Below are 15805 nucleotides of genomic sequence, written 5' to 3'. Positions count from 1 at the left end.
ACCACCCCCCAAAAATTTTCGCCACCCCAACACTTCAACACTATTTTATTTTTCTTATTAATATAAGAAGGCAGGCATGTCAGGCCTCTGAGCCCAAGCCAAGCCATCGCAACCCCTGTGACTTGCACCTATACGCCCAGATGGCCTGAAGTAACTGAAGAATCACAAAAGAAGTGAATATGCCCTGCCCCACCTTAACTGATGACATTCCACCACAAAAGAAGTGTAAATGGCTGGTCCTTGCCTTAACTGATGACATTACCTTGTGAAAGTCCTCTTCCTGGCTCATCCTGGCTCAAAAAGCACCCCCACTGAGCACCTTGAGACCCCCACTCCTGCCCGCCAGAGAACAAACCCCCTTTGACTGTAATTTTCCTTTACCTACCCAAATCCTATAAAACGGCCCCACCCTTATCTCCCTTCACTGACTCTCTTTTCGGACTCAGCCCGCCTGCACCCAGGTGAAATAAACAGCTTTATTGCTCACACAAAGCCTGTTTGGTGGTCTCTTCACACGGACGCACATGAAATTTAGTTGTATCCATAAGGCATATGGAGGAGACTAATTCCTCTTCCAAAGACATGTACCAGAGTCCTGGAGAGGCTGAGGGCTGGAGGTGGAAGAAAGGCTCTGACAGGGGTCAGAATCTGTTCAGGAAACATAGCAAATGCCTGATACTTTTAATTAGAGAAAGGTTTGAATCTCCACATTCATATATTTGCAGTCCAGTGACCTTTCAGTTTTTTTATGCCCAAAGTGTCAAGCATGTTAATGTTACCATTGACTGCCTCCCTGAAGGTGCAGCTACCAGGGGAACTGCCAGGACTTCAAAGCCCACAACCAAAAGCCAGAAAACACTACCAAGTACAAGCCCCGGACACTGGACCCAGAGCACACCCTGGGCATCTGCTCTGAGATCCTCTCCCTGGACAGAGACAGCTGCTCCTTCAGAAACAGAGGAGACCCTGAACACAGGCAGGCCTCCTGAGCTTCCAGCCAGGGCCACAGCCACATGGTTCAGTGCCTCCCACACTCTCCCAGCCTTGGGTAAGATGCATTCTCACCCTTTCCTCCCCTTTGCTATGTCTCGCTCCTGTTACCTCTAGGCTCACATATATAAGCAAAATCCTTACCTTAATCCCTTCTCCACCAACTGAAGTTACGCTTCAGCTTACTTAAATAACAGATCTGTATGAGCCGGTATGGGTTCTACAAGATCAAACAAAGGCAGAAAATGCCATTGACATAATGTGTTTCTAATATGTATTTTGATGCCTTTTTATTCTGAAATAGTTTAAGACTCACGAAGACTTGCAAAAATAATATAGAGAGTTCCCTGGTACCCTTCACCCAGCCTCCTTCAATGCTAATGTCTTACATAATCACAGTACATTGTGGCAAAAGTATTTATATTTCAGCAAAGCATTTAGCGATATCGCTCCTGAAATTCACATGAAACGGTGAAGTGAAGTCAATATTTTATGGCATGGTTAGGTCAGTCTGTAGCTGGTTTCATAATGATGCCAAGAATATGTTAATGACTTAACACCAGTGGGAAAGCTGCCGCCAATGACCTGCAGGAGGCCCCTGCCTCCCCAGCATCTTGCGTACATGATCAGCAGTGTCATCACTAAAGACACAAAAGGCATGCTTATCTTATTTTTCCTATTTGGAAATAATATAAAATGGAGGTAGCTCATTAGGGATAGCATTAGGAGATATACCTAATGTTAAATGAAGAGTTAATGGGTGCAGCACACCAACATGGCACATGTATACATATGTAACAAACCTGCAAGTTGTGCACATGTAACCTAAGACTTAAAATAAAATAAAGTGCAGAAAAAACAAACAAACAAAAAAGAGTCAATATTTTCTCAGTGGGTTCCAACAATGGACCCACTGAGACAATATTGTCATCAGAATTCATTCATTCAGTCATCAGAATTCATTCATTTATTTACTCATCAAAACATATTTCCTTCCAGACAGGAGGCTAGCTGTTAAAAACACAGCTCTATAAATGTTCTCTCTCTTTCCTGAGCTCTCAGACCTAGGAGAGAGCCCAGGCAAGTAAACCAATAGTTATGATCCAGCCTACAAAGAACTATTGTACACAGAGAACACAGAGAGGGCTCCTACCCCGGCATAGAGGAGACACAGGCTTCCCCAAGAGATAAGAATTGATAGGTGTCAGCAGGCAAGGAAACAAGGATGACTGGGTGGTGTAGAGGAAAATAAATCAACTCCATTAAATAGCATGAGCCAAGGATTTTTCTTAACTAATAACAATCCTGTGATGTTGGAGGGCAGGTGTTATTATTAACACTGGTATCCTCATTTTCATGAGGAAGCTAAAAGGAGTTAAGCAATTTGCCCCAAAGTTCACACCATGGAGGAGACAGAGGCACAACTAATCTGTTTGCATCTCCTCACCTCAGACCCCACAATCTTTTCACTATGTCACATGATTAGAAATGTATTAAATAAATTTGAGAGACAGCTAACTGACCCCCAAACACACACGCCTGGGGTCCTAGAGATTTAGAGGTTGTGTGTGTGTGTGTGTGTGTGTGTGTGTGTGTGTGTGTGTTTATTGGTGCTTAGGAAAACAATGCTTACTTTGGTCCATTTATTTCAGTTCAGAGTAAAGTTTAAGCCCCTGGATTACTTATATTACACGTTCACATTGCATTTGCCCTTTGATAACGTTTCAATGTCTCAGCAATTTCATGTCTGAATCGAAGTGGTCAAGCATGTCTGTACCCTGTTACTGTCACTTTGAATGTGCAGCTACCAGGAGGGTGGCCAGAACTCAGTGGTTGACAGCTGACAGACAGACGTGGGCTTCCATATCGTCCGTGCCCTGGGCTCAGACCATCAGTGAGAAAAAACCTGGAGGGTCTCTCTGGGAAACTCGTTCTTCCCCACCGACTACTGCAGGGACCGAGGAAGCCATGAACACTACAAGCCTTTTGGCGCCTGCTGCTGAGATAATGGCCACACCTGGCAGCCCATCCCAGGCCAGCCCTACCTTGGGTAAGAGAGGGTGCTCACTTCTACCTCTCCCGTTTTAAATTAAACTTAGCATTGTCTGTTTTGATAAACTTTCTAAATTTTTGGAATATAATACACACACAGAAAACTAAGAAAACATAATGATCATGAAGCAAACTCTTCCTTCTCCTTTCCTTTGCCCTACCTCTTTCTTCCCATCTGTAGATGAATGAAAGCTCCTTCTTTCATTCCCCAGTTCCTCTCTCTTTTATGTAATCGCACTCCCCAATTTCTTCTCTTTTTCCCTGTTTCATTGTCCATTAACAAGCAGTATGACAACTGTGATGGATGGACCCGGGCCTGAAATTCCAGGCATGAGCCCTGCCTGCTGCTCAGCCTCACCTCGCCCCTCCACCTTCCTCCTCTAGACTCCAGCCACAGCACACTGCTTACTGCCCACATCTCCTGATCTTTATGTATGCACTTTGTGTGCCTGCAAAGCCCACTCTCCTCCAGAACTGCTGTGCTGCTTGACTTAGAGTAGATGTCACCTGACCCAGCTGAACTGGGTGTCCATCGCCTGTGCCTCGGCTGTTTCTCAGCCTCACCTCTTTCCTTCCACTTATCCATATGACGGAACTTGCCTGCTTGAGCTTCTCTCTCACTGGTCTCCTACAAGGAGACTGTATTGCTGGTTTCGCCAGAGGCCAGAATCTTAACAGAAACGATCAAGTCCTGAAGTGACCCTTAAACTAAGGCTTCATGAACATGATACAAAAATTGTTGAACTGAGCCCGTACTCTGTCATGAATATGACAGGCAATTTGTCGGGGGTGGGATGGATCAAGGTGTACACTAAGACTCAGATGAATGAGAAGCAACTCATTTTAACTCATTTTTTCTTTGCCCTGGATCACCCACATTGGACACTTCCTGTACAACACCATCGCTCTCCTGTGCAGGGTCACCATAACTTACCAATGTCAGCTGGTTTCCAATGGCAACCATCACGCTGTATCACAGTAATGATGGGATTTTCCCATTTCCTTTTTCACACTCCATTGTGGGTTTTATTTCTTACTCATCTCTGCTTCTTAAAGCCCTGCCTGGTACCTGGCTTAACCAACATTGGTTGGATAGGGCAGGATAGGTGGCCCTGGTCATCTTCTCCCTCAGGGCCCCCTAGAAGAGATGCAGGCTCACCTCTCTCTCATCTCCTCCCAGGAGCATTCACCCATGGCACACAGACTCCGAGTCCAACCAAGGCAACAGCCCCCAGATATCCACAAACAGGTGAGAAACTCAGTACGGAAGTGGGGGTTTGGGGGTGGGGGATGGGAGGGGTGGGAAGCTTGGGGACAAGGGCGTGGTGGGATGGGGTACCAGTAAGCAATCTAAGCAGGTTACTCTGCTTTATTGTTTCCTGCAGGAAAAGAGTCAGGAGAACTGGTTTATAAGCCTTGCCGTGCTGCTAAATTTCCGTGTGGTCTTCCATAAATCACTTCCCCTTTTTTGGCTATCATTTTCCTATAGATTTCAAGAATGATTTACCTTTAAGATGTTATAAATTTCTTGCTGTGTGTATCACCTAAGGTAATTCCATTCTGACTTCTGGAAGGCCATTCCTGCCCTTTGCAGGTGATCTCTCTGCAGAGTGGCCATTCACTGCTGGTGAAGAGCCAGTCCTGGTCCCAAGACCCCATCAAGTTTCAAGTAAGTACCAGTGCCCAGTCATTACTATTGCTTGTGTTTATTTTGAACAAGGTCATGTAGTAGAATAAGGAGAGGTTTGTTCGGTAAATTTAGAAAATCAGACTCATGGGATTCAAATCTTAGCTCAGCCATTTACTGGTGAGGTGGCCTCCAGTACTCAACTTCCAAGATTCAGTTCCCTCAACTGTAAAGCAAGAATAATTGCAATTTTTGTGGGCACTAAAAATGCCTGTTTTTTTATCTTTCCCACAAGGTTTTGTATTAAGTAAGATAATGTTTGTGGAAGTGGTTTGGAAGTATAGAGCTCTGTAGAACTTAATTCAATCAACTTTTATCGAGTGAATGTCTATTGGGTAGCATGCTGGGCACTTTGCAAATAGAAGCTGCTCTTGCAAGGAGCAGGGTTGTTGGCAGTGAAGGAGGAAGGAATAAAAAAGATGACTGCAAAATGCAACCTCATTTGCTGGGTATGATGTCCTGTTGTTCTGTGTTAAGGGATACCTACCCTTTCCATCCCTGCACAGTTAATTCTCATGGATCTAGACGAAGACCATTTCCTGAGTTTGTAGCTCTGTTTTCAGAACTCCTGACAGAGGCTGAGGACTTGAGTTGCTGTGGTTTTTGCTGCATTTTTCCAGCTTGCTTTTGGACATCTCACTCTCCTCTTTTCTGTTGAGCCAGATTCCATAAGAAAGAAATGGATACAAAGTGAGTGCTTCAAAGCTGCTTGAATTCTCAGGCTCCTCCCACTCCTGAATACCTTTGTACACCAGCTCCTGGACCATCCAGTCATATGTCAACAGGGCATTATTAAACTGCTGGACCCTGCCCCGTCTCCTTTTTCATGTCACCTTAGATCTGCCCCAGCCTTACTCTCAGCCTGCAGTGAATAGTGAATGAACCTTTCAGACACAAAGATGTGATTATGCTACTAAGGAAATTATATCCCTTTTCTCCCAGGAGTTCTAAAGAAACACAGTGGTGCAGATGGAGGCTGTTGTGAGATCAAGTTTTAGAAAACAGGTTGACTCTGTCTATATCTATGTCTATATTGGTGTCTATATCCATATCTATATCTATATCTGTATCTATATCCATGTATCTATAGCTATCTGTATAACTATATCTATCTGTCTCTCTTGTTAGCTCTATCTACTTACCTAATAGGTATTTACCATATCTATCTATTTATTAACCTACCCACTCATCTGTCATCTATCTAATAGATATTTATCCAAGCCATCTATCTATCCATCCTTCAATTAACCCACCTATCCATCCATACCTATTTATCTTTCTATCTGGTTATCTTTATTTCTTAACTTCCATATCATAGATATTTGCCTATCCATCTGTCATCTATCTATCTACCTATGTAATGAAAAACATAATTGCAAATTAAAGGGGTTCTGGCATTTCTCAGTAACTTATTCTGCTCATCCAAAAAAAAAATCATGCCACAAAGTATTTGGCATCCACTCATTCATCCATTTAATAAATATTTATTGGGCTCCTACTGTACTGCCAGGTACTATGCTAGGCCTATTTTTACTTTCTCTTCACAATAATTCTGCAGGAGAGGTAATATCTCATTCAGGAATTATGGTGAGTTCTACATATAAAAGGAGACTCCATTTTGACACCAGATCTAATTTCAAAGCTTGTGCTTATTCCACACCTCTGTGTCACCTTTTCCAAGATATGCCATATGTGAAAAAAAAAAAAGCTGCAATTGAAAAAAAAGAGTGACTAGATTCTTAAGAGAAGCAGAAACTGCTATGTATATCCAGAGAGGAAGAGATTACCTTCAGGTGAGGGGATGGTTCAAGAGTTTATTGATTGAGAATGTGGCACCTGAACAAGGTGCATTCTAAGCAAAGGCATAGCTTAAGCAAAGGCACTATACCTTAAAAGGACTGATGTTGAAGGTGCTGAAAGTGAGGGTAGTGTGGAATGAGGCTAGAGAGGTAGCCAAGAGTGAGATTAACAGTACTTTGTCACCATGTCAAGGAGTGTAGACTTCTGAGGCAAGTGGGAGTAATGTGATCAGATTTGTGTTGCAGAAAGGTTCCTCTGACTGCAGAATGGGGAGGAACAGGAGAAGCTGGAAGCAGGGAAACTTGCGAGGTGACTGTTGTGCTAATGATGCCAGTGGTGATGGTGACTGGAAAGTAGAGGTGACTGTGTGGATAGGGAGACTTGGGTGATATGTAGGAGATAGAACCAAGAGGATGCGGTGATGATGGAGTGAGCACAGGAGGGAACCAAAAATCATGCCCAAGTTTGAGCAACTAAGTGAATATCCCAAGTGTCATTTCCTGAGTTAGAGAAGGATGGATGGGGTGGGTTGGGGCAAGGGACATGGAAATCAAGCCTTGGGAATGTTAATTATGTTCAAGTAGTGAAGTGTGATGGTTATGAGCACAGGCTTCAGAGTCAGATCTTGCTGGAGTTACTCCCTGTTGCATAACTGATACAACTGCAGAGTTACTCAGACCCTCTGTGTCCTCTTCTGTATACTTCTGATGTCTACTTCACAAGATTTATGAGAATTAGATAAAATAATGTATGCAAAGATCTTAGGAGAGTGCCTGATACATAGCAACTGCTCAATAACTGATAGAGAAAAACTCATGGGCACATTGATGGAAATTGGTCAGTGTTCTGGAGGGTTTATCTTCTAGTTAACTCAGAATAAAGTATTTTCTTTCTACCTTCTTAAAAAGTCTTCTGCTAACATTATGAGCCCCTTCTCCACTTAAATAAATATATTCCTGGCCAGATGTGGTGGTTTACACCTGTAATTCCAGCACTTTGGGAGGCTGAGGTGGGAGAATTACATGAGCCCAGGAGTTTCAGACCAGCCTGGGCAACATAGCAAGGCCCCATCTCTACAAGAAATAAAAAATAAAAATAAGTAATTACTGCTAAATTATAATTTTGAAAAATGTTCAAACATGACAGAATAATATTGAATGAATACATGTCAACATGTCAAAGATATTATTGAACTCATTAAGTAATGAGGAAACCAGAAAGATGTGAAGATTGCTTCAATGGGGAATTTGAGGGGAAAAGATTTATGTAGTCAGTCAAAGGAATTCTCAAATGAATTGATATTCCACAGCAATAAACTCTTTTTTTTTTTTACTGGACAAAAATCAATTGCACCTCTACCAGACAAAATTCATTTACATTGCTATGGACAGAAATAATTAGCATTGCTCTTAGACAAGAATTATTTATATTGCTATCGGTTAACATCTACCCCTTGCTAGTTGTAAAATCACCTATTCAATAGAAAGTCAATTAATGGTGCACAATTATTTTTACCCAGACAATCCGCAGAGAGTCTGCTAGACAATAACCAAACTGCATTAAAAGGGTATTCAGTAATCCTTTTTGTTTATTTCCAGGTTTTAGATAATTTTTCCTGGTAGTGATTAGTGAACCTTTGTTGGAAGATTATTAGTAATATTGTAATATAACCTTCCAGTCCCTAGAAAGTAAGCTCTGTGAGAGGAAGGCCCTTTTTCTTCTTATTCATTTTGTAGCTCTAGTGGCTGTCACCAGTGCCTAGCATGTAGTGGAGCTCAACAAATTTTTAATAAATAAATAATAATAATAATTGCTATTATTTATTGTTTGTTTCATGCAAACAACTTTTCAATATGCAATATACTTTATATAAATTGTCTCATTTAATCCTTCCAGTCATTCTATATGATAGGGATGGGTCTCCCTATTTTCCATATAAGGAAATGTAGGTGTAGCCATAGGAAGCTTTCTGAGTCTCAGCAGATCCCAACAAGTTGGAATTTTTATTAAAAATAATTTGTTGTCTCCTTCTTTTATCTTTGGCCTTCCTCCTAAAAACTAAAAATTAAACAACACTGAAAATCTGGTTCACGGAAACATAATTAACTTTCACTTGATGGAAACACAGAACTCACAAACGCAGAGCCTGACTCTCCAGTGACCCAGCATGCCAGTCTCATCTTTCAACCTGCCCTTCTTTCTCTCCTTTTTGCACTCACATACACATGCACGTGCATACACACACACACAGGCAAACACATATCCATATGCTCTCACATGCATGCACATACATATACACACACATGCACACACATGTACCCTGCACACACACATGCATATACATACCTCATATCCCCTGTACTCAAATTTTTCTCAAATCCCCCTCAGCAAGTCACCCCCTTACATCACGCAGAGTCATTGTATGCCCTGTCCCTTACACCAGAAATGCCCTCCACCTGATACATTCCTGTTCAACATCTTAGATCTCTGTTTAATATTTGCTTCTCAGTGAAACTATCTCTGTTTTCCTCCAGAAACTCGATCACCACCTTCTTTCCACCTGACTCTTAAAACTGTTACAGTAGCTTTATTGGGTAATGGTGAGGAATGCTATGTTTACCTGTCTGTCTCAGAGCTACGTGAGATCAGGACAAGACTATATTCACCTGATGCAGGGCTTAACGAAGAGAAGATGCTTACTAAACTCTTACTGATTTAATTGGTCTGGGATTGCATCTTCTAGGGTGTCCTCAGCCACTCTTCAAGGTGGGAGCTATGGCAGCTGCTCCTCTCACCCTGGCTATTCAGAGGCTCAACCCATGCCTGATGGAGCTGTGCCAATTCTTCCAGCAATGCCTCTGCATGAGCCAGAGGAGTCCCAGGACAGAGGACATGAGGTAACTTGGCCCAGTGGCTTCTTTTCACATGGAATATTTATAGCTTTCTTATTCCGTGTGGCTTTTCTGCAGGCCACAAGGCAGTCAGGCAATAAGCAATCCACAGACAGGCAGTAGGGGTTACCTCAAGGTAAGGGACTCTCCAGTGAGTCCTTTACTAGACAGTCACATCCTTGAGATTCATGATGGAATCTCATTCATAGCTGGTCCCCAGAACCAAGTGCAGTGCCTGACACAATAAGTATAATTGAGTTGAGGTGAATTGAATTGGAGTTGAGTTGAGTTGAATTGGAGTTGTGATGAGTTGAGATAAGTTGAGTTGAGATGAGTTGAGTTGTGTTGAGTTGAGATGACTTAAGCTGTGATGAGTTGAGATGACTGGAGTTGTGATCAGTTGAGATGAATTGACCTGTGATGAGATGAATTGTGTTGAGATGAGTTGAGTTGAGTTGTAATGAGTTGAGATGAGTTGAGTTGTGTTGAGTTGGGATGACTTGAGTTGTATTAAGTTGAGATGACTTGAGTTGTGATGAGCTGAGCTGTGATGAGATGAGTTGAATAGTGATGAGTTGAGATGAGTTGAGTTGTGTTGAGTTGAGATGTGTTGAGTTGAGATGAGGTGAGTTGTGTTGAGTTGAGATGAGTTGAGTTGAGTTGGGATGAGTTTAGCCGTGATGAGATGAGTTGAGTTGAGGTGTAATGAGTTGAGATGAGTGGAGCTGTGTTGAGTTGAGATGAGTTGAGTTGAGTTGAGATAAGTTGAATTGTGTTGAGTTTAGATTAATTAAGCTATATTGAGATATGTTGTGTTGAGTTAAGTTAACTTGTGTCATGTTAAGTAGAATTATGGCAGAGGATCATGGCAGAGGATCTTGAGTGGTTCTTTAATCCAAATGCCCTCAGCCTGGCGAGATTTGCTAGGAGAGAATAATTAGAAGATATGTCTATCTAAATTCCAGTTCTTTCATAAATCCCTACCAATCATCCACCAGCAAAATAAGTTGGAAAACTTAAATTAAAAAGCAGAACCTGTTTTATATTAAGAAGGTCTAGACATGGACATTTTCTGTCCTACAATGCTGACATACTGTTATTTCTTCTGGGATTTATTCTTGGCTGTAAACCCAGAACTAAATTACATAGATGAATACTCCTGCTCCAGTGGCCTGGATACCAATCTCTCCTGTCTTTAATGTTATTTTCAAAGACTACTCTCAAGATCCATTAGCTTTTAAAATTTCTGCCTCTGAGTCTGAAGCCCAGGTGGACAGCCATTTTCCATCACCCCTTTCCAGCTGTAATCTTTCATCCCCCTCCCCCCCCCCCCCGTCAGTACGAACATTTCCTCCATTCATAGAGGGCAATAAGCAAGACCTGTAGACCCAAAGCACAGGTTTATTCTAAAGAAAACTTTTACGACAATACTTTCTGTATTGTCTAGGTTAAGCCCACTTTAGGAGATCCTTTACTCATTAACTTAACCAACAATGTGTATTGAGTCTCTGCTGTATATCTGTGATGCTCTGTCCCAAGCCATGGGGATCTAGAGGTGAATCAGAAATAGCCTCAGAAACTGAGGGTTTCATAGTTGGAAGGAAGAAATGGTCATAAACACAAATCAAAATATAGTATTATAGATCATAGAACCAAGTCACGTAACCAGGCAAAAACCTGTTAATCATATCCCGTTGGAAAATATCACATTTGAAAACATTCATATTGCAAATAATAGCTGAATGAATAAATGAAAAAGGCATAAATTTTCAGAGAGAAGTTTGAGTTTAAATTTAGAGCAATGAAGCACCTGTTTGCTTGGGCTTGTTCCTTCTTTTCTGTGTATTTTCACTGAATAGTACATTTTTCCATAAACTCATACACTGAATATAGGCCAAAAATACTAGAGTAGGGGAGGTGGCATTACTCAGTATGTTTGCTGAACGTAGCCTCTGTGATAAAAAACAAACAAACAAACAAACAAAAAAAACACTGGTGGGAAAGTTGGCAATGTAAGAAGACAAATTTCAAAGCAGCTGACAAGTGCTGTAGCAGACCTGAATAACATGCTATGGGATCCCAGGAGAAATAACTAATAGGGCTTTATGGAGGAATAGGAGTTTTCCAGGCAAAAGAAATAGCATCTGCAAAGATGGAGTCACGGGTAGCCTGGAGCATCTAAGGACCACTGAGATGTTCAATGTAGCTGCAGCAAAGATGGGAGACCAAGTCTCTGGCATGTCCCTATTCAGGACTACCTTGCCTTTTAAGCACCTGGGTAACTTATTATATGCCCTCTTTGACTTTCACTCTAGAGCTCCATCTGTCCCTTCTCCAAGCTTTCTACTCCCTCCTTGTTCAGAATAAATAAAACATACAGAATTATTGAAGTGCAGCCCTCTAAATCCTGTCCATTTTTAAACTGAGATAATCTAAACTCCCATTCTCTTCATATCATCTCCCTCCCAGGGTCATCTCTTGAAATCTTTCTTATTTGGGGCCCCAGAACCATTCTTGGGGCACACTCCTTGCAGGATAACAAAGCCACAGTCCCTGGTGACTTACAAATTTTGCTACCTCAGGCCCCAGTGAAGTGTCCACGGCTCCTCTTCTATTCAGGCTGCTGCTGACTCCACAGTGCGTGCAGCAGCTCTGGTCTGCTAGGAATTTAGATAGACATACCTACAAGGGGCTGGTGTAATCATGGGTGCTTCAACACTAGTTTCAGCTCATGCTAGCCATGGCATTGCAGCTTATATCTGCCCTGAAGAACTGAAGACAAACAAAATAGGCCACCTTAACAACTGATTTTCTTCTAAGACCATCTAGCCTTTTCTGCAAGGAAATGCCTCTTCCAGTCCATGTGAGGAATACATATTCTTGTTATGAACAGGACTTTGACTCCATTCCCTACAAAGTAATAACCAGGGGCATTTATCTATTGTTCATTTATCACTGTAGGGGATGCCTCTGCCAGAAAGCTTGGGGATGGGACATGTCGTGTTTAAATAGTTTCTCTCCTGATCATAGAGGCAAGATTCTCATTCATCCTGAGAGCGGTGTACACTTTCAAAGTGAATTCAGGCACAGAATGGCAGCTTTTTGGCTCATGAAGGTGTGGGTCATGTTTCTGTGGTTGCTGCAACTTAAATCCTGGCCTCACACTTGGCAGTTTCACAGAGCACCTTAGTTTGGATGATGTTGTCCATCTAGCAATATGAACTTCTAAAGCAGATCATGCCCCAAAGTTGCTTGATATCCTCTATCACAGAAGCTTTCTAAGAAGTTTTGTTGCTGTTGTAAGAAAGTATGACTTGCAGATTGTTACACTGGCTAAGAAGAAATGGGATTAGACCATACAGCCAAGGCCCTCAAAGCTAGTAGGTAGCTTAGTGAGCTATAGAGAGGGCAGGGCTTGAAGCCAGGCAGGCCTGGGTTTAAATTTAGTCTCTGCCACTTACAAGCTATGTGGTCTTGAGCTAGTCATTCAATCTCTGAACCTCAGTTTGTTCATCTACAAAATGGGTATAGTCCTGCCTACATTCTAGACCACATGTTGCACAACTCCAGGAGCACCATTCATGTAAAAGGGTAGCAGCAGTCTCATATTGACAGTGTTGTGAGAACAAAATGAAATGAAATAATATATCTAATTGTTCCTGCATGGTACCTGGAACGCTGCGCTTTGTGGTTGCTGATTAAGACACTGTTGTGGTTGCTCTCTTGTCCACTCCCACAGCCAAGTGGGAATCCCATTGCTAGCACCCTTGACATGTTGTAGCTGTGCTAACCAGATATCTAGTGGCCATGTCAGCTGTTGAGTTGGCCAACCTTGACATCCTATCTCTGGAAGTTTTGAAAGGTCTCCCTAAGAGTACAGGTTCGTAAGCTCACAAAAAGCATCCTGGATGTGTTCATCAATTGCTTCTTCACACTTGGTTCCATTTCCTGCCCATTCTCTAGTAGACTCTTTAATGAAGGGGCTGACTTGTGCAAACTACCTTTCCCAGAACACACTGCCAACCAGATTCCAGTGAGTTCATCCCATAGAAGATACTGAGAGGAGATTGGAGGGCAGTAGAGGGGAGAAGCCAGGGAATTTCTCCCCCTCCCTTTCTGCTTTGGGCAATATTTCCAGGAGCGGCTCTATTTCCTCTGTGGTTCCAGTTTCCACAAGGAATCCTCATAACAGCTTCAGCTCTGCGGTCCCAGCTGCCACCAAGGCCATTGCCCTCTGTGCTTTGGCCACAGTACTTTCTCTGTCTGTCCCTCCAGGCCCAGCAACTCCCTGTGGCTGCTAATGCGGGGTTACCACACCTTCCCCTGTTGGTTCTTTCAGCCCTTTATCACTGATTCATCGTATTAAAGTCCCTCTATAGAACCACCAAGTCCTGCTTTCCTGGCAGGGTCCTGACTCAAATACTGATCTTATTGCCTACCAGAATGACAGTGTGATCTGGCATAAAGTGGGTTACCTGGGTTAAAATCCAATACTACCACCAGAAATCCCTTGGGGAAGTCATTTAATCTCTGTGCCTCAGTTTCCTCAGCTTTGCACTTTCCTATAAATTGGGGGTGATAGCCCTTGGAAAATCTCTACCACAGCTTGACTTGAGCAATTAGTTGCACAACTCTCTAGGGTGTGCTAGAATCACAGAATGTTAGAGGTGGAAGAGAAATTAGAGAATGTTTAGCCCAACCTCCTCAAATATCAGGTGAGAGATTGAAAGAGAAGTGAATTCCCAGAGTCATACAATGAGCTAGTTGACACAGCCTGCACTGAGAACTCTTCTTCCTATTAATTGGGTGAGTGATCTTTTCACCACAGCCCTCTGATGCAGCTCCTGCCACCTCTGACCAAGAACAGAATGTTATTTTGCAAAGTGTTTGCTGCATTGATAATGACAGCAGCACTCCACTCTCTCTCTCATCTCCCACTAAAATAAATAAGCAAACAAACAGACAAATGTCACCATGTATTGAGCACCTCTTGTATGCTGGGTACTGTTCAGGAACTTTACATATGTTATCTTATCCTTATATAACCTGCGAGTATAGGTTCCATTATTGCCTTTCATTTATATATGAGAAAATTAAAGTCCAGAGAATTAAGTTATCACCCTGAAGTCATGCATCCTAGTACGCAGTGGGGCTAGGGATAAAAATAAGTCTTGCTGGCCCCAAAGTCTGAACTTCTTCCTACCCAGCCTTCTTTCCTATCTCTCCTCTGACACCCTTTAAAGATGGGCAGAGGGTTCCTTGCTGTGAATAATTGGCCATATAGTTCATGTTTATGTGCTTACCTTTAAAACTCTGGCTGTCTTCTAATAGCCATCACAGGATAGTTATTGCTCCCTGCTCTGATTTAAATCTTTAGATACTGTCTTGAATACTATTCCTGGTTTCTGAAGAATGCAACATATATCTGTCAGAGGGTGAAAAGGGTGTCCCACTCGCACAGTAAGTACACAGCTTGACTATGTTGTAACTTTGCAGTGAATGCATTACACAAAAGGGTCCTGTAAATCTGAGTGATTCCCAGATGTCTTTGGAATGCTGTAGCTCATCTAGTCCTCATTAATTTGGGACAAAGAGCACCTAGGATTTTTCTTATTCCCTTTCAGCTAACAGCTTGATGTTTGCAATAAGGTCAAGGGAAAAACACAGCAGGAGTCAGCCTGACCAAGCACTTTTGCTCTCTGCGTGAACTCAGGCAAATCTCTTAGCCACAGAGCTCCTATGTAAGCTAAAAAGACAAATAAAAGGCTGGGCGCGGTGGCTCACGCCTGTAATCCCAGCACTTTGGGAGGCCAAGGCGGGCGGATCACGAGGTCAGGAGATCGAGACCATCCTGGCTAACATGGTGAAACCCCGTCTCTACTAAAAACACAAAAAAACTAGCCAGGCGTGGTGGTGGATGCCTGTAGTCCCAGCTACTCGGGAGGCTGAGGCAGGAGAATGGCATGAACCTAGGAGGCAGAGCTTGCAGTAAGCCGAGATTGCACCACTGCACTCCAGCCTGGGCCACAGAGCAGTTTGTGGGGGACAACCCCCACAAATACTGAAATTCTTGACTGAAGGAAAAATGCAAACAAATAATTCATGCAAAAGAAGGCACCGTGAAGTACTAGAATTTATGTTTCATTATGGTACCTCTCTCCTTGTCCTGGTAGCTTCAAAACTTCATTTATTTCCAGATATTCCAGTATCAGCTTTTTTTTATCTCTCACTTCTGCAAAAAATATCCCAAAACCCATAGTTTGGCCATTATCATGCCATCTACCTGAACTACCTCAAGGGACTCTGGTCTTCTAAATATCATGGAATTACATTAAACTGTATAGAAAATCCCTTCTTACTGTAACCCAAATATAAGCTGGGTGCT

The 15805-nt window shown here is 42.5% G+C and overlaps 1 protein-coding gene across 1 annotated transcript in view; it reads left to right on the top strand.

Moving 5' to 3' along the window:
- Positions 1 to 15805, top strand: part of HHLA1 (HHLA1 neighbor of OC90) — a 49678-nt gene that overhangs the window by 30392 nt on the left and 3481 nt on the right. Inside the window, exons 11-16 of the mRNA NM_001145095.3 lie at positions 800 to 1048; positions 2795 to 3040; positions 4223 to 4291; positions 4637 to 4711; positions 9273 to 9426; positions 14798 to 14880. Coding sequence (NP_001138567.1) covers positions 800 to 1048; positions 2795 to 3040; positions 4223 to 4291; positions 4637 to 4711; positions 9273 to 9426; positions 14798 to 14880 — 876 coding nt within the window. The remainder of the gene's footprint in view (positions 1 to 799; positions 1049 to 2794; positions 3041 to 4222; positions 4292 to 4636; positions 4712 to 9272; positions 9427 to 14797; positions 14881 to 15805) is intronic.

Source organism: Homo sapiens, chromosome 8 (assembly GCF_000001405.40).
Source record: "Homo sapiens chromosome 8, GRCh38.p14 Primary Assembly".
NCBI lineage: Eukaryota > Metazoa > Chordata > Mammalia > Primates > Hominidae > Homo > Homo sapiens.
Note: the sequence above shows the minus strand (reverse complement) of the source record. Positions and strands in the feature narration are given on the sequence as shown.